Source organism: Homo sapiens, chromosome 5 (genome assembly GCF_000001405.40).
Source record: "Homo sapiens chromosome 5, GRCh38.p14 Primary Assembly".
Classification (NCBI taxonomy): Eukaryota; Metazoa; Chordata; class Mammalia; order Primates; family Hominidae; genus Homo; species Homo sapiens.
The window spans coordinates 129,499,810-129,525,154 of NC_000005.10; the positions used below are offsets into that span (position 1 = coordinate 129,499,810).

The 25,345-nt window shown below is 34.7% G+C and overlaps 1 protein-coding gene across 11 annotated transcripts in view; it reads left to right on the forward strand.

Moving 5' to 3' along the window:
- The window catches only part of ADAMTS19 (ADAM metallopeptidase with thrombospondin type 1 motif 19), a 278,386-nt gene that overhangs the window by 39,512 nt on the left and 213,529 nt on the right, over positions 1–25,345 (forward strand). For 9 of the 11 annotated variants that reach the window (XR_007058587.1, XM_047416876.1, XM_047416878.1 and 6 more), the window contains one exon: positions 9,268–9,433. Coding sequence is in view for 8 of the 11 variants with exons in the window: in XM_047416876.1 (XP_047272832.1) it covers positions 9,268–9,433 (166 nt within the window). In the remaining 3 variants the exon portion in view is untranslated. Of the gene's footprint in view, positions 1–9,267; positions 9,434–15,368; positions 20,135–25,345 lie in introns of those variants that run through there. The other 2 variants (XM_017009174.2, XM_047416883.1) reach the window with 1 other exon arrangement.

A 25,345-nucleotide genomic window follows, 5' to 3' on the forward strand; every position in this document is an offset into this window, starting at 1 on the left:
TTCTGATAACCATTTCACATTCCCACTTCCCATACATGAAGTCTCTTCTCTGAGGTCCCCTCATTTAAAAGGCCATTTCTACATCACTCTGTAACCCATTCCTAGTACTTGGCACTACTTGAATTCATATTATACATGTATAGCTTTTCATTAAGTAAATAAGACTCAAGGGTCATAATAAAACTCTTGCCCGCCCCTCCTAGTTTTATCTCTGTTGTTTATTTGTAGGTTCTGAGAAGACTTCTGGTAAATTTAGTCACAAAATTCTGGATTTAATCTTTCAAGTATTTATTATATAATCATCAAACTGTCAAAATTCACATAAAGTTAAAATGAATCAGCCACATGCCCTCCGCATTCAGGCTTTCTTAGAAGAAATTACATCCAGTGAAAAAGGGAGAATGAAGTCAGAGTCCTTGTCATTTCTGCACCTATGACTTTCAGTCCTCCTATTCAGTGCACTGGGCTTTCTCTGGCTCCTCTAGCATTGGAACTGTTAACGGACACCCAGAAGGAGGGGCAGGTTCTTAGGTGACAGATGGCATTTTGGGATATTATTGCTGAGCTCCGCATTTGCCAAGTGCTTTAAATGGAGAGTCTTTCATGGGTCACATTTGTGGCTTCTTGGGAGACTCTTTTCTTCAGAGATGCTCCTCAGTCTCTGGGGATCTCAGTCTTTTCCTGTGAGGATGGTGAATTCATCTTCTCAGGTAGTCACTTGCAACGCCTGCCTTAGTCTTTGGGTATCTGTTGGGATACTTTCTGGCTATATTTTCATCTTTGTTTTAATTGCAAAATAGAACACAGACAGAAATAAGATTACAAGTAATCAACATAAAGCTTAGCAACAGATTATGAAGCAAATATAGATCTTTTTGACCCAGCTGGATAAATGGTGCATCATTTTCTTTCCTAGAGTGTAAGTTGATGATGGGCCTTGACCACCTTGTTCACTACTGTTCCCTGAGCTCTAACTGTACAAAGTTGATACTAATAAGCATTTATTGAATAAAGAGTTGGATGAAAAAATAAGTAATAAAATTATGATATATTTAGAGGATAAACTATTATTTGGCAATTAAAAAACACACAAAGATCGCATAATGCTATTAAGAAACAAGCTTTTCTTAAATGGGACAAAGTAGAATATAAAATTCTAAAATATATCTATGCCTGTGTGTACATGCAAACGTATGCCCACACACAGATACATATACAATACAAATATATATGTGTATTTAAATTGACTAGAAGTATATACATACATTCATATGTAATTATCCTGTATGATAGGATTTAGAAGAATTTTTTAAACCATATTTTTATGTTCCACTACGTTTAAATTCTGGTTGTATGATCAGAAAAGATTGTAGGAAAGAAAATAGAAAAGAGAATTAAAAGAAAGGAAAAGGAAAAACAAAAACCTTGAAATATTCTACCAAGTCTGCCATGGGAGAATTGTTGGGGCATCCACCACTGAAGGAAGCCTGGAGGTGAAAACTCAGTCCACTTAGAAAGCCAGTGTGCCTTTGGCAGCCAAGAAGTCTGATCATATAGAACAGTCAGCTCAAGATAAAGTTCAGAGCCTTAATGTACTATTTTTGTCTTTTGCTTTGGGAGGGATGGGGCCTGGCCTGGCTATTGATATCAAATTTTGGATAGCTACCATCTGTGAGGTGTTATGCTTGACGTCCAAACCCTTAGTGTACAATTTTTTAAAGATGAGGATTTTTTTTTGAAATAACACTTATATGGCAGGCCTACCCTTTTGCAGAAAGTTTCACAAAGGCAGTATGTGCTTGAAACCAGACAGCCTTTCATTTGAATCCTGTCTTTACTACATACTGATTTGTGATCTTAGGAGATAATAAATCTTTTTGAAGCTGACTTATTTTTTTTCAATTATAAAATGGATGAAATTAGCGTGTGTCCAAGGCTTTATTTATAGATTAAATGAAATAATGCATATAAAATGCCTTGTAAACAGGCCTATTATTATATTATTGTTTTCTTATAAATAGTTTTAAATAGGCTTGAAAAAGAGTAAAGGTCCATATAATTTTTAGCTTGGGTAACTAAAAAAAGGTACAGCCATAAACAGATATACAAACTTTGAGAGGTGGCACTAGTTTGGAAAGAATAATGATATGACTGAAGTGAAACAAGGGAAGTGAGAGAGGAGAGTTAATCTTGAAGGGTGGCGGTGGACTATGAGTGAGGGGGTTGGGGAATCATCTCCATAAAGGAGGTTATAAAACCATTGAGTGTGATAGATGCAGAGAACAATTGCTGATCAAAAACCAGCCTTGGGATGAGAAACATGACCTGTTTAAGGGAACAGAAATAGTTTCTAGAAACGAAAAGGACCAGGGCAGTGGAAATTCAAGGAGGAGAAAAGTGGGCAAGGATCAAATGCCGCAGAGAGGGGAATAAAAAAGGAAATTGTGAGCAACCTCAGAAAAATTTCTGAAGTTTGGTGATTTGGGGGTGGGGACTAGAATGTAAGTAAAAATTTAAGTAGAGTGTAAGTAGCAAGCAAAGATAGCGTGATGTGTCAAAACCAAAAATTAACATGGAAATTGGGAAGCCTACACTCTAGGCCTGACATTCACATTAACTCTCTGTATAATTTTAGGCAAGCCACGCAATATTTCTAAGGATTGATTTTCGTTATTTTAAAACTCCTGTAATGCTCAGATGATTTCTAACTTTCCTTCTATCATTGGAGTTTTATGATTCTCTTTGGAGCCCTTTGGCTAGGAAAGAAAATGGAATGAGGTTAACAATGTGATCATCTGAAAAGTTTTCCTAAAGATACAACTTGGGCACACAAGGAAGCCAACATTGGAAATGCCCAGTGGAAGAAATAAAATTCTAATTTCCTCTTATGAAATCACAGGTGGAGTGAATACCTGCTCTTCAGAGCAGTGATGGATACATTTTCTGTTATCTCAAGAAGGAAGACTACATTTGAGCACCTGTTATATATTAGACCTTATGTATTGAAGGCATGAAGATGAGCACTATTCCAAAGCCTCAAGTAGCTCATGGTCTAATCAGAAAGACATGAAACTATAACCACAGTAGACATATTAGTGCAACAACAGAAAATGTCTGGTGTAGAATTAGAGAGGGAAGGCAGTGGTTACTTTGGAGAAAGGACAGGGTCTGCTTGATTTTGAAGAATTGATAGCTCTTCACAGGCACAATGGCATTCTGGAAAGAGAAGGCAGTATGTGCAATATGCCAAGATGTAATCATGCAACTAAAGGTTATTTTGAAATGTGTTTGTTCACATAGTAAAAGCTTGTCTGTTATTGTTATATATGAAGTTTGAGTAGTAAAAGTAAAACTGGAGAGGCAGACAATACAATTCTCATAGCCTTATAGGCCTCGTATACCTTCATGAAGGATTTTATCTTTCTGAGCATACTGTGGAAACATTGAAAGGATCATCAGGAAGAGTGTTTTAAGATGATAAGACAATAGGATAGATATGGTGTCAGAAGTGTAGTTTTATACAGATTTATATGTAGATATAGAATACACAAATGCATGACAAATCACTCCCATTTACAGTAATACTGAAATGATATTTTATTTGAATATATCATAAGAAAAACATGAGGTATTATAATTTATGCCAAGCCATATGTCATGCCTACACTTTGAACTATATAATGCTTTATAATGAGATATATTAATAAACTATAACCTTATGAGAAAATACTTAAGAAAATAAAGCCAGGCTGGGTGCCATGGCTCACGCCTGTGGTCCCAGTACTTTGGGAGGCTGAGGCATGCGGATCACCTGAGGTCAGGAGTTCAAGACCAGCCTGGCCAACATGGAGAAACTCCATCTCTACTAAAAATATGTGGGTGGTAGTGGGTGCCTGTGATCCCAACTACTAGGGAGGCTGAGGCAGGAGAATCACGAGAACCCAGGAGGCGGAGGTTCCAGTGAGCCAAGATCATGCCATTGCACTCCAGCCTGGGTGACAGAGTGACACTCCATCTCAAAAAAAAAAGAACCTTACATAGAAGTTCAGATCATGTACTGCATCAGACATTTGTCTAACATGTTTTTACAAGCATATACTGATTCTAAAGCCTTTAAGCAACTTCTCTTACCACTGTTTACAACCGAAACACTTCTGCTTCTTCGAGTGTCTCGCTAATTCTCGGATGTACTTTATATTGGGACAATAGACTTATATCCTAAGATATTCAATATTCAAGACATTGGCTTTCCTTGTCCTATCAAGAACATTGTCATATTTTTTCAATTATATGAGTTTATTTTATTTTCTGGCTATATTTTCCCATTTCTTTGCTCAAACCAGACATCTTCCACCTGTTGCCTAGACTCTCCATCCTATTTGCCCCCACTCATAATGCCTCCTCTATAAGGAGCATCCTTGCACTTGTCTTATGCAAATCCTGCTGTCTCTCAGGACCTTTCTCAGATCTTAAATTTATAATGATCTATCACCTTTCACATGTCCATGAGCACTTAGGACATTTAGTTATTATGATATGCTATATATTTTTAAATTACTTTAAATGACAAAAATTACAAATACATACATCACAAATGCACATATTTTTGGTGTGCAAAATGTTTTGATATATGTATACACTGTGCAAAGATTAAATCAATTAATGTGTCTGTTATCTCACATACTTATCAGTTTTTTGTGATGACCACATTTAAAATCTACTCTCTTGACAATTTTCAAATATACAATGCATCATTTTTAATTACAGTCACCATGTCGTGCAGTAAATCTCTTGAAGTTATTCCTCTTGTCTAACTGAAATTTTGGATCCTTTAACCAACATCTTCCCAAACTCCCTTTCTCTCCTTCTGCTGACCACCATTCTACTCTCTGCTTCTATCAGTCTGACTTTTTTAGATTTTACATGTGAGATTGTGCAGTATTTGTCTTTCTGTACCTTGCTTATTCTACTTAATATAATGCCCTTCACATTCATCCATGTTGTCACAAATGACAGGATTTTCCTTATTAAGTCTGAGTAGTATTCTGTCTACACACACACAGACACACACACACACACACACACACACACACACCATTTTTTAATCCATTCATCTGTTAATGGACACTTAGGTTGATTCCACATATCGACTGTTGTTAATAGTGGTGCAATAAACATGAGGGTGCAGATCTCTCTTTGACATACTGATTTCATTTCCTTTGAATATATACCCAGAAGTGGAATTGCTGGATCATGTTTTTTAAAAATAGGATTTTATCACGACTGTTACAATATTAAGTACCTAATGAATTCTCAATACGTATTTGTTCAACTGAGCCTCAAAACATACCTTAAGCCAGTTCAGTGAAACTTTATCTAAAAATCTGAGGTTCAGGAACATGAAGAAAATTGCAATAAATGAGCATGGAAGAATGAAGAGAAAACTTCAGATAATTGTAGTAGTACTTTGGTTATGTCAGTGATTTGGAAGTGAGATAGTTGAAGCGAAATAGTCATCCCCATAGAAGTGGGGAAAGAATGGAGAGTGTTATATTGCTTTCTGTTCCTTCTAACTTTTTAGTTAGCTCTTATATGCTGTAGGATCTGTTTATCTATTTAATAGCCCATAGTTAACTTGAATTTGAATAAATGAACCATTTATAATTAATGAGGTAAAGTAACAATATATGAACATCCCTGTACATTGTCCAAATCAAATTTTATGTTTTGATTAGAAGTTGGTTTTAGTGTCAGCACATCTACATGGAGATAAAAGTTAATGGTTATTTTAAAAAGCACCGAGCCACATAAATAGAGAAAAAGAAATTTCAACCAGTAAGAAAAGAAATGACTGGTAGCTTATTTTCACAAAAGCAATGCTAAATTGCAAAATATGGAAATTCTTACTAAATTGAGAAATCAAATAACATTAAATGACAAAAGAACAGATGTCATCATATAAGAAAATGCCTATGAAGATAGAAATAAATTAGAAAACAACTGTTAAACCTTATTTTACATCCAGATATTTACATGAAATGACTCGAGTTAAAATTATTTTGAAAAATTTAAAAAGGAAAATATGAAAAACACTTATATACTCTGCATTTATTTTAGATAGTGCATTGTGTCATATTAATTCATATAATCTTATTTCTTGCTAAAATTCAGAGGACGATATTCGCAGTAAAGCAAAGGCTGCCTAATTGTGGATTGCCCAGCACAGGGGCACTTGTGCAGAAAGGTTAATATGGGTTCATGTTCTTTCATAGCTTGTAAAATCACATTGCAGATAAAACAATTTATTTTGTTAATGGAAGAAGTGAGCCCTTTGCGGGGACACAGAAAACCTCAAGATTTCCTATAATTCTGCTTTAATATGAGCCAGTATCTTGAATGACACATATTCATGCTAGGGCACTTTGTGTGCCATAGGATAGTATTCTAGGCCCAGAAAGAAAGTTCATGGTATGACTCTTGGTGCTAAATATGCCAGAGTGAACTGAGTTGGAACACAGTGGTCAGACTATAAACATGTATTGAATGAATGAGTCACCACTTATAATTATTCCAACTTGTTTTTTCCTTTTTAAAAGTAGCTTTCTTGTTTTTAAAAGTAGCTTTCTTGTTTTTTTTTTATTATAGTTTAAGTTTTAGGGTACATATGCACAATGTGCAGGTTAGTTACATATGTATACGTGTGCCATGTTGGTGTCCTGCACCCAGTAACTCGTCATTTAACAAAAAGTGTCTGTAGATAAAATTCTAATACAACAGAAAATGTTATGTAATGAAGAAGCTTCCAAATCCTAACAAAACAACAATATAATTTATTTCAGACTAATTTACCTGCTAACAGGGATACAAAATTTAATAAAGTTAGATCCTTTGGACTTTGTGAGTTTTTCAGCCTGTACTCAAATGTTTGGATGCTTATATTTATTATGATTGTCCTTATTATTAAAATTAAAGTAACAGCAAACATTTATTGACTAGTTACCCATTATCAGAGCATTACCCATGATAAGAGCATTGCTTTCTGTTCCTTCTAACTTATTAGTTAGAAGGATATGTGTATTTTTAAAATATATATATATTTTTTAAAAAGTTATCCTCCAAATAACCCTATGAAGTTGGGGTTTGGATAAAGGTGCTGTAACTTTCCCATAGTTACACAGCTAGCAGTAAGTTATGAACCCAGTTCAGAATCTTTTCTTGGAGTCATTAAATTTTATGTGATAGTGTGCAATTAAATTTTATAAGGTTTATTGTTATAAACCTAACCATGTTTATAACCTGGTTGAAAGGATGTATAGAATCACAAATTTATGATTTTCAGAAACTGAGCATGTTTGCCTGAGCTGTGCTGAGCAGCATAATTCTTATTTTAATCATCAGCCTCACTGTCAATTTTATTGGCAACCTTGAAAACTTAATGACTCTCAGAATTACACTAATCCATAAGACAAGAATAACATATTTCTTTATTTTTAGCCTAGATCAATAATGTGTAACACAACACCACCTATTCTCAATTTATGTGTAGATGTACTACATCTTTAATGGCTATTATTTAATAATTTTATCTTTAATATTTTCTTGTTTCTCATTAAATTAAGCTCAAGGGAAAAACTGCTGGATTTGATGTAATTACCTTAAAATTCAAGCTAGTTTCAGACTGAGAGAAGTAAAATATGTATGGAAAATGAAAGAACTTACTTGAAGTTATTTGAAGGCATATTAAAATTATACAAATATTTGGCCCACATATGTGTCTAGTATTTTAAAGGTTCATTAGAGTAAATCTTTCTTAATTATCCCTACCCCTGAATATATTTGTGTGCCTGTGTACGTGTGTGTGTGTGTGTGTGTGTGCGAGAGCCAGAGTGAGATCTAGAGCGAGAGAGAGAGAGAGAGAGAGAGATTGAGACATAGGGAAAGCAATAGAGGCAGAGAGAGAAAGAAAGGGAGAGAGAGGAGGGGGACAGATCGAGGTGATAAAATTGCTTATTCTCGTTCTTGATAATTTTTTAGTGATAAAACTCATTCAATAAAATGAGATTGATTAGGATTTTAAGATTTACCCTCGATTTACTTTATTTGGTACAGAATGCAATGAGGTAGAATATTGGCAGTGGAAGATGCAATACTAATAATTCAAACAAATTAAAAAAAATTCTGCTATACTTCCAAAGAAAACATGCATTTCCTTCAGGATATATGTATTTGTTTAATTTTCACTTTAGAAAATAATTATATTATTATTGTGCCACTTATAAGTGGATCAAATTGAAATGAAATATACATAAAATTCATATTGATAATTCAAAACAGAATTAAGAACTTTGATATTAGCAGATTGGGTATTAGTAATACAGGTTTTAGTATATGATTTATTCAAAACTATTTGCTAAAGAGATAATATAGTTGAATGTATGCTATCTATATGTATTAATTATACAGAGTTAAATACTAAAAATGGAAAAGATCAAGTCATAGCATGTTCTTTCATGTGGAATACTTTCCTAGTTATAATGTAAATTTATATTCTAGAAAAGGAAAGGAAGAAATGACTAGGCTTAGCCTCAAAATATTACAAGTATACCTACTTGTTATAAGTACTTTTTATTGATCATAACTGTATTATACAGTTTCAACCCTCTGTCTCACAATTGGATGACTTTTAAAACATGTCACTATGTGAAATGAAACTTGTTTATGTAAGTAATGCTTCATTTTTCTCTAACTTATTCTTCAAGGGCTTTTAAAATACGTAGTAGAAGACTTTAAGGATATTTTATATATTAATTTGATGCTTCTTGCATTTGTCTCTTGCATTTGTCTTAATATGTTATATGAATTACTTTATTAAATAATGACTGTCAAAAATTTGGACTGTGCCATGTATGCAATTAAAAACTGTATTGCTCTTTCTGTACATGCTGTACATTTAAGTGACCCCATGGGTCTCCCAAAGTGAGCCTTTAACATTCCAAAATTTTTACTGTGCATCTGTTGCTGGCGTCTAGCCTCCCACCCACACGGATTAAGACTAACTAAATGAAGTTTATGTTAGTGCAATAAAGTACATAAAGATGAAGTAATAAAATGGGAAGATAGTTACCTTGCTAGTGGGGTTGCTAAGTTAGTTTCACTAGAAGACTGTATGCATGTTTGTTAACAAAAACAGAATGTATGAATGGAAGAATCTAAAAGTATTTTTTCAAATGATATTTCTTACATATCTTTTTGTGTTATATATTCCAGATGGGATTTATACAGCTCAATGAGGACTTCATATTTATTGAGCCACTCAATGATACAATGGCCATAACAGGTCACCCACACCGTGTATATAGGCAGAAAAGGTCCATGGAGGAAAAGGTCACAGAGAAGTCAGCTCTTCACAGTCATTACTGTGGTATCATTTCAGGTAAATGCCTTCTCCTGAAAGAGTTTTAAGTAAATATTCAATGTGAGATGACTACTTTAAAAAAACTCTCTCGTCTATTTACTAGCTTTACTTATTTTTAATGTAGAATCTTTTAATTAGTAACAATTAAATGTATCAATTATAGGATTATCTTTTAGTTTTTTATGAAGCACTACATTTTAATATCAAAAAGTAGAACTCAAAAGGACTTTAGAGATGAACATATAATATATCCTATACTTTTCTTGAATTGTAAAGTGTTCCTCATGGGATACTGTTCACTTTACTGGAATAGAAATGACACAGATAATTCCAGATACCCTGAAACTGAATACTGTGAGCTCAAAGCCTTAATTTAGTCCACCTCTGTGAAAGCATCATAGATATCTCTTGGACTAGAAGCATCCTCATCTTCTCTTTCTTTTTCCCATCTAAAATCATTTTGGAGGTTAAAATTAGCTGCAGAATAGGAAGAAGAGTAAAGATTTATACGTTCGAATTTTGTTCTCAGTATTCAAATCCCTTAAGTCTGGAACTTTTCAGAGGCTCATAAACATTCCCAACCATCAAATCCTTGGCTCTTTTTGTCTGCCAGTTCTTTACAGGAACAAAATGAGGGTGACTGTTTCATGTACTTTCTTACTTCCCTTAGGCAGAGATCTGTGGTGTTTGCAAGTATGGTGAGGAAAATGAATGAATTCTGTTACATAAGTAGGATCTGAAAGTCATAGCTAATATTCAGAAAAAAATTAAAAGTTTTCCTAGGAAAAATTTTTAGACATGGAATCCAGACATCTCAGGGTATTTACTGATCTAAGAAATATTTCCAGTTAGAATCTGAGGAAATATAAATTTATTGAAAAATTTTCAGTGTAAGGACTTTAAAATTTGACTTGCAGATTTTAATTGTCAATGTAGCTTGTATCAAGATATCAATTCTAAAATTGATTATGATACTTGAGGCCAGATTAGATATGTGCATGGTGACAATAAATCACATTTGTAGAGACCAGAGGATGTCTATATCATCGATTGCCTAGGATGTTCGGATTCAGAAAAATATTATAATATATTTCTATTTAGAATATATTTTTATCTCAAATTAATCTGTTACTTCTGTTTTCTTTTGTAAAAAGTCATGATGTCAGTCTGTACAAGAATCATCATCAAAAGCAGTTGAGTCTCTCTCCACGTCACAGTATTCCATGTCCACAAAATCAAGCCAGTTTAAATAAGACATATCCCTCTTCTCTATTACAAACACTGTAGATATAAAGGAGAAAAAGTCAGCTGAACAAAAAGTGTAGCATTACGAACAAGCAAAAGAAAAGCTTCTGTATTGGGAAATGATAAAAACGACAGCTATAGTTTGGATTTAGTCCATTTAAGGAGATTGCTTTGTACGAGTTATACTGAAAATCTGCACTGTGTAACTTTTGAATAATTGTTAAGTTCCAGCTGTTCTAATTACTCATGTACTCTGATGACACAAAGCAGGCTCTGTATGCCATTATGCATAGAGAAAAGGTTTCTAGAAAATTCTGAATTATATAGGTTAATAAAGGATAAATACAGAGTTCATGTTTGGCAAATGTTGTGCATAAAGTTTCTGAGATATATATATATATATATATATAGTAGGCATGATTGTTACATGTAAATGTTGACCTACTTGGGCCAAGAACTTGCATGTAAGGAGTGCTAAGCTATCATCAGCTAAATGATTTACTGAGCTTACCTATTTTCAGATGCTTTTTGAGGGCTCAGAATTTTAAAAATCATTTAAAAATTAGGAATCTGTGAAATAAAATATTTATTTACGGGTACTGACATGTCCAATTGTAGCCTTTCTCTTCTTACTTCAGGCTGTTACAGTAACAAATTAATAACATGGTCCAAATTTTGATAATGTTGCAGTATTTGACTCTGGAAAATGAGATTATTAAGTTTGCTTGTCTTCAACTTGGTCTTTGTACTCTCTTAGTGTTTTCAAGGTTTTAGGTAGATTATGTTTATATGTATTGCTTACATGAATATTTTTTTCCAAACAGGGATTTTCCTGTTTTAAAATGACTTTGTTGTGTTATTGTACTAGAACATAATGTAAAGGAGGGGAAAGCACATGAGTTTTAGAGTCAGAGGCCTCAGGTTCAAGGCCCAGCTTTAGTCTCACTCCAGCCTAGGTAATCTTGAGCAATTCATGTAACTTTTGAAACTTAGCTTTTTTGTTTGTAATATAAGCACAACCAGTCACCTTACAGGAATGTGGAGATAAATGACACAGTTTCTATTCTCAAGAGGTGAAGAATATATTATTTTAACAAACTGGTAACTCAGCAATTACACCATAGTGTGATAAGAACTACAATAGACTTAGCATACAAGATCCCAAGCTCCTGAAAATGGACAATTGAGTCTCAAAGATCAGGTAAAACTTATTAAGACTAGAGGGAGAAAAGGGAACAGAGTCCAGGTTGAGATAATGGACTTCGGGATCAGACTGCCTGTGTTCATATCCCTATCTGTCTGTGATCTTGGGAAGTTTACTTTCTCTCTCAAAAGATTCACTTATCATATACAAAATGGGAATAGTGATACTTCAACCTCAAGACTGTCCTCAGAATTAAGTGACATTATGTATTAAAAGTGAGAAACATGAAGTTTTTAGTGCATGCTGTTACATGTTAATGGGTCAAGAACATTTCAGGCAGAAGGAATAACACATGAAAAAGTATAAAGGCATGAGAAGGCATCAAGGGAACAGAAACCAAGTTTCTGTACTTGATAAGACACAGCCCTGGAAAAGTGGTCATGGACCAGAAACTGAAGGGACTTGAGTGCCCTGGTAAGGACTTTATCTTCAAGTGACATTATCAGTTTGTATTAACATTTTAGTATAAACGCATGAGTATGTCTAAGACTCAGTAGGAAAAGAGAAGAGATTTACAGAGCTGAAGACAAAGGTTTAGGCAGGATGTAGAGATCATCTATCTCCATTCTTCGAGCTGACTTAACCAGGCCACTACTGAACTAGTTCCCATACTCCAACCATAAGTATTGTGGAGATTATTGTCAATCTGTGGAGGGCATTAGAGAGAACACACACTGAGTACTGGTGAATAATTCTACATTTCTTCTCTGACTGGAAGTGTACGGTATCAACTGTGTTGTTTTTATACATGCATTTGGATACAACATGGTCTAAAGATTTAGGAGATGAAGAATGAGCTCTGCATAATTGTACATAATAAAAACATCAAAGAGAGCAACTTAATAAAAAGATTACTTCAATATGCATGATTTTCACAGACAATGGATAACTTATATGGCAGAGTCAGCTGTGAAGTTGAGATTCTTTAGAAACCTAGAATCTTCCAGGTAGCCTATTTAAGTGAAAATAAGGACACAGGAAACTGACAGATTGGGGCCAACACAGCTGTCACCAGCTGGGACACTGAGGGAAATATACTTTTCTAACTCTCTCTTACCTGATCTATCTACCACTCTTGGTACAGATAAAAAGCCTCTCATTTTATAAACTATCCCCCTCATTTTATAAACTATCCTCCTTTTACATTTCTTACATCTCCATCTCTGTCTCTTCTATGGGAATGTCTTCTTCCATCTGTTTACCCCTGAATACAGGCATTTCTCAGGACTTCCCTTTTTTTTCTACTTCCTGTTCCACCTACTTTCCCAGGTTGATATAATCCGAAGCCAATGTGGGTTCAGCTTTACATTGATTAATTCCAAAGTGTCTCCATTTCAATTTTTCTCCTGACTTCCATATATATGTAATAGTAACTTCTATTCAGATGTCATCAAGCATCTCAGATTTAATAACTCTGAAACTGAACCCATCATCTCTCCTCCCAAAGGCCTCTTCCAATATCCTCGACTATTTATCTAGTCACTTGAAAATTAAAAATAAACCCCCCAACCAAAACACAAGTAACAACTAAAAAAAAAAAAAGTATTAATCTAACCTTCTGTCTTTGTTCCTCTAAGTCTGATTGAGTTTACTCATGATGCTGTCTACCTCCTAATATTTTGCCTGTCATCTCTTTCTACCACTTCTGTGTTATTATTATAATAAGAACATTTATTTAGCCAGTCACAGTGGTGTACCTATAGTCCTAGCTACTTGGGAGCCTGAGGTGGGAGGATCATCTGTGCCCAGGAGTTTGAGGCTGCAGTGAGCCATGATCACACCACTGTACTCCAGCTTGGGTGACAGAGTGAGACCCGATCTCATCTCTAAAAGAAAAAAAAAGAAAACACATTTCTATAAAATGTACCATGTGCCAGTTCATGTAGTTATGTTACATGTGTTATTTTATTTTTATGTTTTCTATAATCCTTTGAGGTAGATAGTATTTGTATCCTCATTTCTTATTTTTTTTAAATTTTTTTGTGGGTACATAGTAGGTGTATATATTTGTCAGGCACATGAAATGTCTTCATATAGGCATGCATTGTGAAACAAGCACATGATGGCAAATGGGGTATCCATCCCCTCAACCACTTATGCGTTGAGATACAAATAATCTAATTAAATTATTTAAGTTATTTAAAAATATACAATTAAGTTATTATTGACTATAGTTAACCTATTGTGCTATCAAATAGTAGGTCTTATTCATTTTTTCTAACTTTTTTGTACCCATTAACCATCCCCACCTCCCCTCAAACTCCTCACTACCTTTCCTAGCCTCTGCTAACCATCCTTCTACTGTTTATATCCATGAGTTCAATAGTTTTGATTTTTAGATCCGACAAATAAGTGAGACCATCCCATGTTTGTCTTTTTGTGCCTGGCGTCTTTCACTTAACATAATGATCTCCAGTTCCATCCATGTTGCTGCAAATGACTGTATCTCATTCTTTTTGTGGCTGAATAATATTTCATTTGTATAAGTACCACATTTTCTTTATCAGTTCATCTGCTGATGGACACTTGGATTGCTCCCAAATCTTAGCTATTGTAAACGGTGCTGCAACAAACATAGAAGTGCAGATATCTCTTAGATACACTGATTTCCTTTCTTTTGGGTATAAACCCAGCAGTGGGATTGCTGGATCATATGGTAGCTCTCTTTTTAATGTTTGAGGAACCTTCAAACTGTTCTCCATAGTGGTTTTACTAATTTACATTCCCACTAACAGTGTACAAGGGTTCCCTTTTCTTCACATCCTTGCCAGTATTTGTTGTTGCCTGTCTTTTGAATAAAAGCCATTTTAACTGGGGTGAGATGATATCTCATTGTAGTTTTGATGTGCATTTCTCTGGTGACCAATGATGTTGAGCACCTTTTCATGTGCCTATTTGCCATTTGTATGTCTTCTTTTGAGAAATGTCTATTCAAATATTTTGCCTATTTTTTGATTGGATTATGAGATTTTTTCCTACAGAGTTGTTTGAGCTATTTACATATTCTAGTTATTAAATCTTTGTCAGATGGATAGTTTCCAAATATTTTCTCCCATTCTGTGGGTTGTCTCCACTTTGTTAATTGTATCCTTTGCCGTGCAGAAGCTTTTTAACTTGATGTGATCCCATTTGTTCATTTTTTGCTTTAGATGCCTGTGCTTGTAGTGTATTACTCAAGAAATCTTTGCTGAGACCAATGTCCTGGAGATTTTCCCCAAAGTTTTCTTGTAATAGTTTCATAGTTTGAGGTGTTAGATTTAAATCTTTAATCCATTTTGATTTGATTTTTGTATATGGTGAGAGATAGGGATAAAGTTTCATTCTTTTGCAAATGGATATTCAGTTTTCCCAGTACCATTTATCAACAAGACTATCTTTTCCCCGGTGTATGTTCTTGGCACCTTTTTCAAAAATGAGTTCACTGTAGGTATGTGGATTTGTTTCTTTGCTTTCTGTTATATTCCATTGGTCTATGTGCCTGTTTTTATGCCACTACCATGCTGTTTTGGTTACTGTAGCTCTGTAGTACAATTTGAAGTCAGGTAATTTGATTCCCCCAGTTTTGTTCTTTTTGCCGAGGATAGCTTTGTCTGTTTGGGGTCTTTTAGTGATTCCATATAAGTTTTAGGACTGTTTTTTTTTTCTAATTCTGTGAAGAATGTCATTGGTGTTTTGATAGGGATTGTATTGAATCTGTAGATTGCTTTGAGTAGTATGGACATTTTAGCAATATTGATTCTTCCAACCCATGAACATGGAATATCTTTCTACTTTTTGGTATCTTCTTCAATTTCCCTCATCAGTGTTTTATAGTTTTCATTATAGAGGTCTTTCACTTCTTTGGTTAATTCTTAGATATTTAATTTTATGTGTGGCTATTGTAAATGGGGTTATATTTTTAAATTTCTTTTTCACATTGTTCACTGTTGGCATATAGAAATGCTAATGATTTTTGCATGTTGATTTTGTATTCTGCAACTTTACTGAATTTATCTGTTTTAATAGTTTTCTTGTGGAGTCATTAGGTTTTTCCAAATATAGGATTACATTATCAGCAAACAAGGATAATTTGACTTCTTCCTTTCCAATTTAGATGCCCTTTATATTTTTCTCTTGACTGATTGTTCTAGCTAGGACTTACAGTAATATATTGAATAACAGTGGAGAGAGTGGGCATCCTTGTAGTGTTACCGATTTTAGAGAAAAGTCTTTCTGTTTTTCCCCTTTAGTATGATACTAGCTGTAGGCCTGTGGCGTATGATTTTTATTATGTTGATGTATGTTCCTTCTATCCCCAGTTTTTTGACAGTTTTTATACTGAAGAGATGTTGAATTTTATGAAATGCTTTTTCAGCATCAATTGACATGATCATATGGTTTTCTCCTTCATTCTATTTATAAGATGTATCATGTCAACTGATTTGCAAATGTTGAACCATCCTTGCCTCCCAGGGATATTTTCCAACTTGTCATGATGAATGAACTTTCTAATGTATTGTTGCATTCAGTTTGCTAGTATTTTGTTGAGGATTTTTGCATCAGTATTCATCAGAAATATTAGCCTGTAGTTTTTTTTTTAATTTATGTGTCTTTTTTTCTTTTCTTTTTTTTTTTTGTATCAGGGTAATACTGGCTTCCTAGAATGACTTTGGAAGTATTCCCTCCTCTTATATATTTTTTGGAATAGTTTGACTAGGATGGGTATTAGTTCTTCCTTAAATGTTTGACAGAATTCAGCAGTGAAGCCATAGGGTCCTGGACTTGACTTTACGGGAAGACATTTTATTATGGCTTCAATCTTGTTACTTGCTATCTGTTCAGATTTTTGATTTCTTCCTGTTTCAATCTTGGTAGGTTGTATATATCTAGGAATTTGTCCATTTCTTCTACATTTTCCAACTTATTGGCATATAGTTGCTTATCGTGGCTACTAATGATCCTTTGAATTTCTGCAGTATTGGTTGTAATGTCTTCTTTTTCATTTCTGATTTTATTTGTTTGGACCTTCTCTCTTTTACTCTTAGTCTGGCTAAGGGTTTATCAATTTTGTTTAACTTTTCAAATAAAGCAACCTTCTGTTTTATTGATTTTTTTTGTATTTTTTATTTCAATTTCATTTATTTCTGCTCTGATCTTTATTATTTCTTTTATTCTAGGTTTAAGTTTGGTTTGTTCTTACTATTCTAGTTCTTGTTAGGTTTTTTGAGATTTTTCCTTTTTTTTTTTTTTTTTCGATGTAGGCACTTATAAACTTCCCCCTGAGTACTGCTTTGGCTGAATCCCAAAGGTTTTGGTATGCTTTGTTTCCATTATCTTTGTTTCAAGAAATTTTCCAATTTCCTTCTCACTTTCTTCATTGACCCACTGGTCTTTCAGGAGCATATTGTTTAATTTCCATGTATTTGCATAATTTCCAAAATTCCCTCTTGTTATCAATTTCTAGTTTTATTCCATTTTGGTTAGAGAAGATGCCTGATATTATATTACTTCAATTTTTGGAATGGTTTAATGCTTGTTTTATGATGTAGCATATGGTCTTTCCTTGAGAATGATCCACATGCTGAGGAAAAGAATGGTATTCTGCAGCTCTTGGTTATAATGTTCTGTAAATCTTTATTAGAGTCATTTGGCCTATAGTGCAGATTAAATCTGATATTTCTTGGTTGATTTTCTGTCTGGAAGATGTGCCCAGTGCTTAAAGTGGGGTGTTGAAGTCTTCAGCTATTATTGTATTGTGGCCTATTCTCTCTCAATAGCTCTAATAATGTTTTCTTTCTTTATATGGGTGCTCCAGTGTTGGTTGCATATATATATTTAAAATTGTTATATCCTCTTGTTGAATGGACTCCTTTATCATTATATAGTGACCTTCTTTGTCCCTTACAGTTTTTGTCTTGAAATCTATTTTGTCTGATATAAATATAGCAACTCCTGCTCTTTTTTGGTTTTTATTGGCCTGGCATATCTCTTTCCATTATTTTATTTTCAGTCTATATGTCTCTTTATAGGTGAAGTGTGTTTCTTGTAGGCAACAGATCAATGGGTCTTATTTTTTCATCTATTTAGCCATTTTATGTCTTTTGATTAGATAGTTTAGTTCATTTACATTTAATGTTATTATTGATAAGTAAGGACTTATACTCCTGCCATTTTGTTATTTGTTTTCTGGTTGTTTTGTTGTCGTATCTTCCTTGTTTCTTTTCTTCCTGTATTCCTCTAGCAAAGGTGATTTTCTCTGATTATATGATTTAGTTTCTTGCTTTTTATTCTCTATGTATTCACCATATGTTTTTGGGTTTGAGGTTACCATGAGGTTGCAAATACTATCTTATAAACCATTATTTTAACCTGATAACATCTTAACAGTATTTCCACGAACAAATAAGCAAAAAGAAATCCAACAAAAACTCTCTGCCTTAACTTTGTACCCCAACTTTTTAAACTTTTTTTGTTTCTATTTATATCTTTGTACTGACTATGTCTTGAAAAGTTTTTATAGTTATTAGTTTTGATTGTGTCATTGTTTAGTCTTTTTACTTAGGACAAAAGTAGTTTGCACACCACAGTAACAGTGTTATAATATTCTGTGTTTTTCTGTGTACTTACTATTACCAGTGAGTTTTGTACCTTCAGATGATTATGTATTACTCATTAATGTCCTTTTCTTTCTGAATGAAGTACCTCCTTAAGCATTTTTTGTAGGACAGGTCTGGTATTGCTGAAATCCCTCAGTTTTTGTTTGTCTGGGAAAGTGTTTATTTTTCCTTCATGTTAGAAGGGTATTTTTGCCAGATATACTATTCAAGGGGAAATTTTTTTTTACTTCAGCACAGTACATGACACGCTACTCTCTCCTGGCTTGTAAGTTTTCCACTGCTGCCAGTGTATTGGAGCTCAATTGTATGTTTTTTGTTTCTTTTCTCTTGCTGGTTTTAGGATTCTTTCCTTATCCTTAACATTTGAGATTTTGATTATTAAATGCCTTGAGGTAGTCTTCTTTGAATTAAATCTGCTTGGTGTTCTATAACCTTTTTGTATTTGGATATCGGTATCTTTTTCTAGGTTTGGGAAGTTCTCTGTTATTTCTTTGTAAAAACTTTCTACCTTTATCTCTTTTTCTACCTCTTCTTTAAGGCCAATAACTCTTATATTTGCCCTTTTGAGGCAATTTTCTAGATCCTGTAGGTTTGCTTCATTGTTTTTTATTCTTTTTTGTTTTGTCTCTTCTGACTGTGTGTTTTCAAATAGCCTGTCTTCAAGATCACTAATTCTTTCTTTTGTTTGTTCAATTCTGCTATTAAAAGACTGTGATTCACTCTTCAATATGCTAATTGCATTTTTCAACTCCAGAATTCCTGCTTGAGTCTTCTTAATTATTTCAAGTTCACTTGGTGTTCTATCACTCTGTGGCTCTGCTGGTACCTGAAGCCAGTAAGTCTCAAAGGTTCACCCAAAGTCCTCGATGTAGTACCTGGGTGTCACTGCTGGTTATTCAGCGCTTTTCAGTTAGTAGGTGGCAAATACTGCCAGGACTGGGTTCCTTTCTTCAAGGCAGTGGGTTCCCTTCTGGCCCAGGGGATGTCTGGAAATGTCTTTTGGGAGCTAGGACCTGGAATGGAGGCCTCACAACTCTAACTGGCACCCTATCCTGTGTGGTTGTGCTCATATCCTAGATGTAAGACAAAGTCTTCCACACGTTTCCCTCTCCCCTCCTCAAGCACAAGGAAGGAGTCTCTTTGGAGCCACCAGCTATGCAGCCTGAGGTTAGGGGAGGGGTGATGCCAGAACTCCCTTGGCCATCCTAGCTGGTGTCTCAGTATATTGTGTGTACCTCCTAGTCCACTGTCTCTAGCACTTGCCTAAGAGTTGCAGTCCTTATGGCCTAGCCTGCCTTTCAAGTTTTCTTGGAGGCTCAGAGTGCTGTAGCCTCAGTATCAAGGTTTATAGGCTGCCCTCCCTATTCTCATTTTATAGGAAAAAAAAAAAAAGAGACAGGAAGCGGAAAGATTTTTAAGAAATACACAAGGGATGATGTGATTCCCACTATGCCATTTTGCATACCAGGAGACCCTGGACCCTTGACTCTACAGCCAATTTATATATTGCTTGGATTACTGCAGTTTATTGCCTTCTCTGTGTCTTCTTGATTTCCGTCTAACCCTCTCATAATCTAGTTTCCAATTTTTCTAAAAGGTGCATTTTCTGGGATTCTTCACAACTTCAGAGTAAAATTCATACTCTTCAGCTAGGCGCACAACAACCTGAATATGGTAAGTAGATTAAGTGCACCAAAATCACCTGGAGATCAAAGTTAAAATGAAGATTTCTGGATCCCATCCAGATGCACTAAGTCAGAGTTACTGAGGCCGGGACCCAAGAGAATCAGCATTTTAAACATGGACCCCGAAATGTGATTTTTGTGCATATTTAGAGAAACATCTGAGTTTATAGAGATCTTTCATTTCTATCCCTATGTACCATACTCCTTCCTGCCTCTAAGTCTCCTGGTTTTCTTCAAAACTTTCTCTTCTTTTCCTTTAACCTTCTCATCCTCCAAGACTTAGTGCCTTAGGGAAGTCCTTCTGAACCCCCTGGATGCTACTTTCCCTAAGCCTTTCCAAGCTATTGCTTTGTAGTGCTACCATTGCATTTTGTGCATGTGGTGTTACACACTAGGGAGCCTAGTAAAATGCTGGATATAAAGTTTCTTCACGTTAATTCCATAAATATTATTTACTGCATGCCATACCCTGGACACATAAATATGAGTAACGTCAGCCTCTAAAGACAAAAATATGGGAAGACACAATCTTCTTTGTGAAACCTAAGAGAGTAAGATGACATTTCAATGATAGGAAAGATAAACAATGTTTGTAAACACCTTGAGGAAGAATTTGTTTCCACTAATTATTATTATTTGGACAATAATTATTCAGAGTCTTACTCTGTTAAGAGTTGAGATAAATACATTTTTTCCACCAGATATTTTGCTATCCAGTTGTATGTATTTGGACGAGTCATTTCTCTGCCAATTGGAGTAGATACCCATGATTCTGAGATTCATTTACATGATTTCTAATGAGTCTGAAGTTGTAAAATTGTTGTATTTTATTATCTCATTTTCTAAATCTGCATGGTTTTCTCTTATCTGCTGAAGCTCATCGCTCAGGACCCTAAGTCTCAGCTCTGAATGAGAGCTCACCTTTTTTCTATCTCCTGTGATGCCAGCTCCATGCCCTAATTTGTCTCTTCTCTGAACTCCATGAGGTTTTCCCAGTGATACTGTGAATGAGATGGTCACTGTAGTGATATATTTTATATGCTTATAGCTTTCTATTTTATAGCCTTCTAGAATGGAATCCAGTTTTCTCTTTTACAAAGGAAAACATCTTTGAAGGAAGAGATTTTCATGCGGGCTGTGGCATTATTAGATTGCTTAAATATTGCAGTAACAAAATAGTTGCTGTAGGAATTTTCTTGAGTTCTGACTATCAAAAAATAGTTTTAATATGACCAGTGATTATTTACTCTAGGTTTTAGTAAATTTTATTTGATAATCAAAATGTAATAGTTTGTTAAAAGCAAAATTTTTACCGAGAGCACAGAGTATACATCTAGGTGTACCTTTAAACCCATGTAAGTGTGCATGTTCCCATTTAGAGATCAAATAAATATGAAGATTCATTTCCATATTAAAAATGTCATCCTAGTAGCTAACATATTTCACATTTAATATATGAATTAGATATTGCAATAAGCAAGTTACATATACATGCTCACATATTCCTATTCATATACAATTTTTATCTATACAACAAATAAGTAGAAAAGTAAGTTTTTGTCCCACAGTCCCAAAGCTAGTAAGTAGCAAATCCAAGATTTTTATCTATGCATTTTGACCCCAAAGAATTGGTTTAACATCCCCCAGAAATGTTATCTTCCAATGTCCACCTAAGCTCTCTATACTTCGTCTAGCTTCTAGCCTATAGGATGAAGGAAGGAAAGTAGGAGCAAGCAATTTTCTTTAAAGGGTGACCCAAAAGTTTTACATACTAGTTCTGTTCAAATTCCATGTTTTACTACTCAGTCACATAATTACACTCAGTTGAACAGTAGACTGAGAAATGTTTCTGGGTGCATAGCCACACATCTAACCAAAAAGCAGTGGTTGAGTGGGGATGTGGTTAAGGAGTTTTTTATTACTAAAAGTAAGAAAGGGAGAATGAATACTGATAGACAATTAATAGTCTCTACTACAGCATCTCATCCAGCAATGAAGACAGGAAGGTGATAACTGGAAGAAAGTAAGGAAAATGTGGAAAAGTATCTAAGTAGAAGGAGGTGTCTCTTTTTAGTTATTGGATGTATCCATATTAATCTCATTCACTTGGCAGAAGTTGACACTGGTGAGAAGCTATCACTTGTCACAGTTGGTGAATATGTGCTGGATAATACTCAGATTCTCATTTCCCTTGAAGGCCAATTATATATCCATCTAGAAAGGTGATGTTGAAAAAAAATATATATATATATACACACACATATGTATATATGTTAGAATGTAAGTATATACACACACATAATATATAAACAACATATGTATGCGTAGTTGTATGTGTGTGTGTGTATATATATATATATATACACACACACACACACATATATATATATATATATATATATATATATATATGATCAGTTTGGTCTTTGGTATTAACTGCTGGTACTGAATCTGGATCCATAAAGTTTACTTTTAACTATAGTGATTCTGATTCAGATGGCTAGTATTGTTTTTGTCATCTTGCATTGACTTGTTATATGATATAAATAAGGAATATTTGCATTAATTGTTACAACACTTCAGTTAACTTTGTTAACTGATTATACATGATATTTGAGTAAAACTGGATTTATTACATATTTTTAAAATCTCCATCATTGCTAGAAAAAATGAGAAACAGTAACTTATGGGGATAGTCTACATAAGATTAGTTTCCAGCAACAGTGGTGGGATCCGGTTCTTATTAGATCACAGAGCTGACAGGTGGGCATAGAAGTCATAATACAAAGGAAACAGTAACTCAAGAATCCAAGAGATAAGGCTGGGAACAGTGGCTCACACCTGTTATCCTAGCACTTTGGGAGGCCAAGGCAGGCAGATCATCTGAGGTCAGGAGTTTGAGACCAGACTGACCAACATGGCGAAACCCTGTCTCTACAAAAACTACAAAAATTAGCTGGGCATTGTGGTGCATGCCTGTAATCCCAGCCACTTGAGAGGCAGAGGCAGGAGAATCACGAGAACCCAGAGGCAGAGGTTGAAGTGAGCGGAGATCGCGACACTGCGCTCCAGCCTGGGCGGCAGAGTGAGACTCCATCTCAAAAAAAAAAAAAAAGAATCCAAGAGAAGATAAATTAATTCTGTAAAAATGAAAATATGTTAGAGGTCAAAGCAAGGTAGGATATGTGGTTAGTAGAATAGGATAGAATAGAAGAGAATAATAGAATAGAATAGGCAAGCTAAAACCCAGGTACCTGGTATAAGACTCAAGGAATTTATCAGAAACCATAAAGATAGATTAGAACTGTGAGAACACATATCCTGAATTCAAAACACAGTTAGAGACATACAGGGAATCATGACTAATTGAATATACATGTTTCACTCCACTCTTGAAGAGACTTCACTGAATTTGTATTAAATAGTAAAGAAATATAAAAGGTGCCAGTCAACAGTGCAAGTTGTGGAAAGATGATAGCAGCTTAGAGACATCAACAGAATATGATAAATGACAAGGAGAGGGGCAAGTGGTAGCTGATTTAACAATATACCATGGAGATTATTCTTCAACTGTAGAAAATTCTTAAACTTGATTGTACACATGAATGGCTGCATAATGTGACATGTAAGTTACACCTCAATAAAGCTGTTATAATCGCAAATTTATTATTGAAGCACCATGTGCATACAGGAAATTGCAGAAACAGTATGTTCAACTGCTGAAATTTCCCAGTGTGAACATAACCAATAACTACCACTGGGATCAGACTATAGAGAATACCTAGGAATTCAACTTGCAAGGGACATGAAGGACCTCTTCAAGGAGAATTGAAAACTACTGCTCAAGGAAATAAGAGAGGACACAAACAAATGAGAAAAAAAAATCATGCTCATGGATAGGAAGAATCGATATTGTGAAAATGGCCATACTGCCCAAAGTAATTTATAGATTCAGTGCTATTCCTATCAAGCTTCCATTGACTTTCTTCACAGAATTAGAAAAACTACTGTAAATTTCATATGGAACCAAAAATAGCTCGTATAGCCAAGACAATCCTAAGCAAAAAGAAAAAAGCTGGGGGCATCATGCTACCTGACTTCAAACTACCACAAGGCTATAGTAACCAAAATAGCATGGTACTGGTACCAAAACAGGTATATAGACCAATGGAACAGAACAGAGACCTCAAAAATAACACCACACACCTACAACCATCTGATCTTCGACAAACCTGACAAAAACAAGCAGTGGTGAAAGTATTCCCTATTTAATAAATGGTGCTGGGAAAACTAGCCATACGCAGAAAACAGAAACTGGACCCCTTCCTTACACACTATACAAAAATTCACTCAAGATAGATTAAAGACTTAAATGTAAAGCCCCAAACCATAAAAACCCTAGAAGAAAACTTAGGCAGCACCATTCAGGACATAGGCATGGGCAAAGACTTCATGACTAAAACGCCAAAAGCAATTGCAACAAAAGCCAAAATTGACAAATGGGATCTAATTAAACTGAAGAGCTTCTGCATAGCAAAAGAAACTATCATCAAAGTGAACAGGCAGCCTATGGAATGGGAGAAAAGTTTTGCAATCTATCCATCTGACAAAGGGCTAATATCCAGAATCTATAAGGAACTTAAACAAATTTACAAGAAAAAAAAAAAACATCAAAAAGTGGCCAAAAGATATGAACAGACACTTCTCAAAAGAAGACATTTATGCAGCCAGTGAAGTGGCACAGCACATGTACACCTATGTAACAAACCTGCACGTTCTGCACATGTATCCCAGAACTTGAAGGGAAAAAAAAAAAACGAAGGAAAAGAAAATATCAACACCACAGATATCTCCCTTGTGCCCATGCCCAGGCTCTAATTTCTCCTACCCTAAGATATTCACTGAGTTGGTTTTTAAGAGCATTTCTTCCCAGGCTTTGATGTGTCTTTAAATGGAATCATACTACCTAATCTTTTGTACTTGGCCTCTTTTCGTCAGTATTATGTGGATGAACCTCATTATTTGTGAGATTCTTCCATAGTTTCACATGTTACAGCAGCTGGCTCCTTTTCATTGCTATATAGTATTCCATTATATGACTATTCTAACATTTCTTTATCCATATACTATTGATGATTATTTGAATTTTAAAAATAGTGCCACTCTGAGTAGTTTGTACATGCGATTTGTATGCATTTCT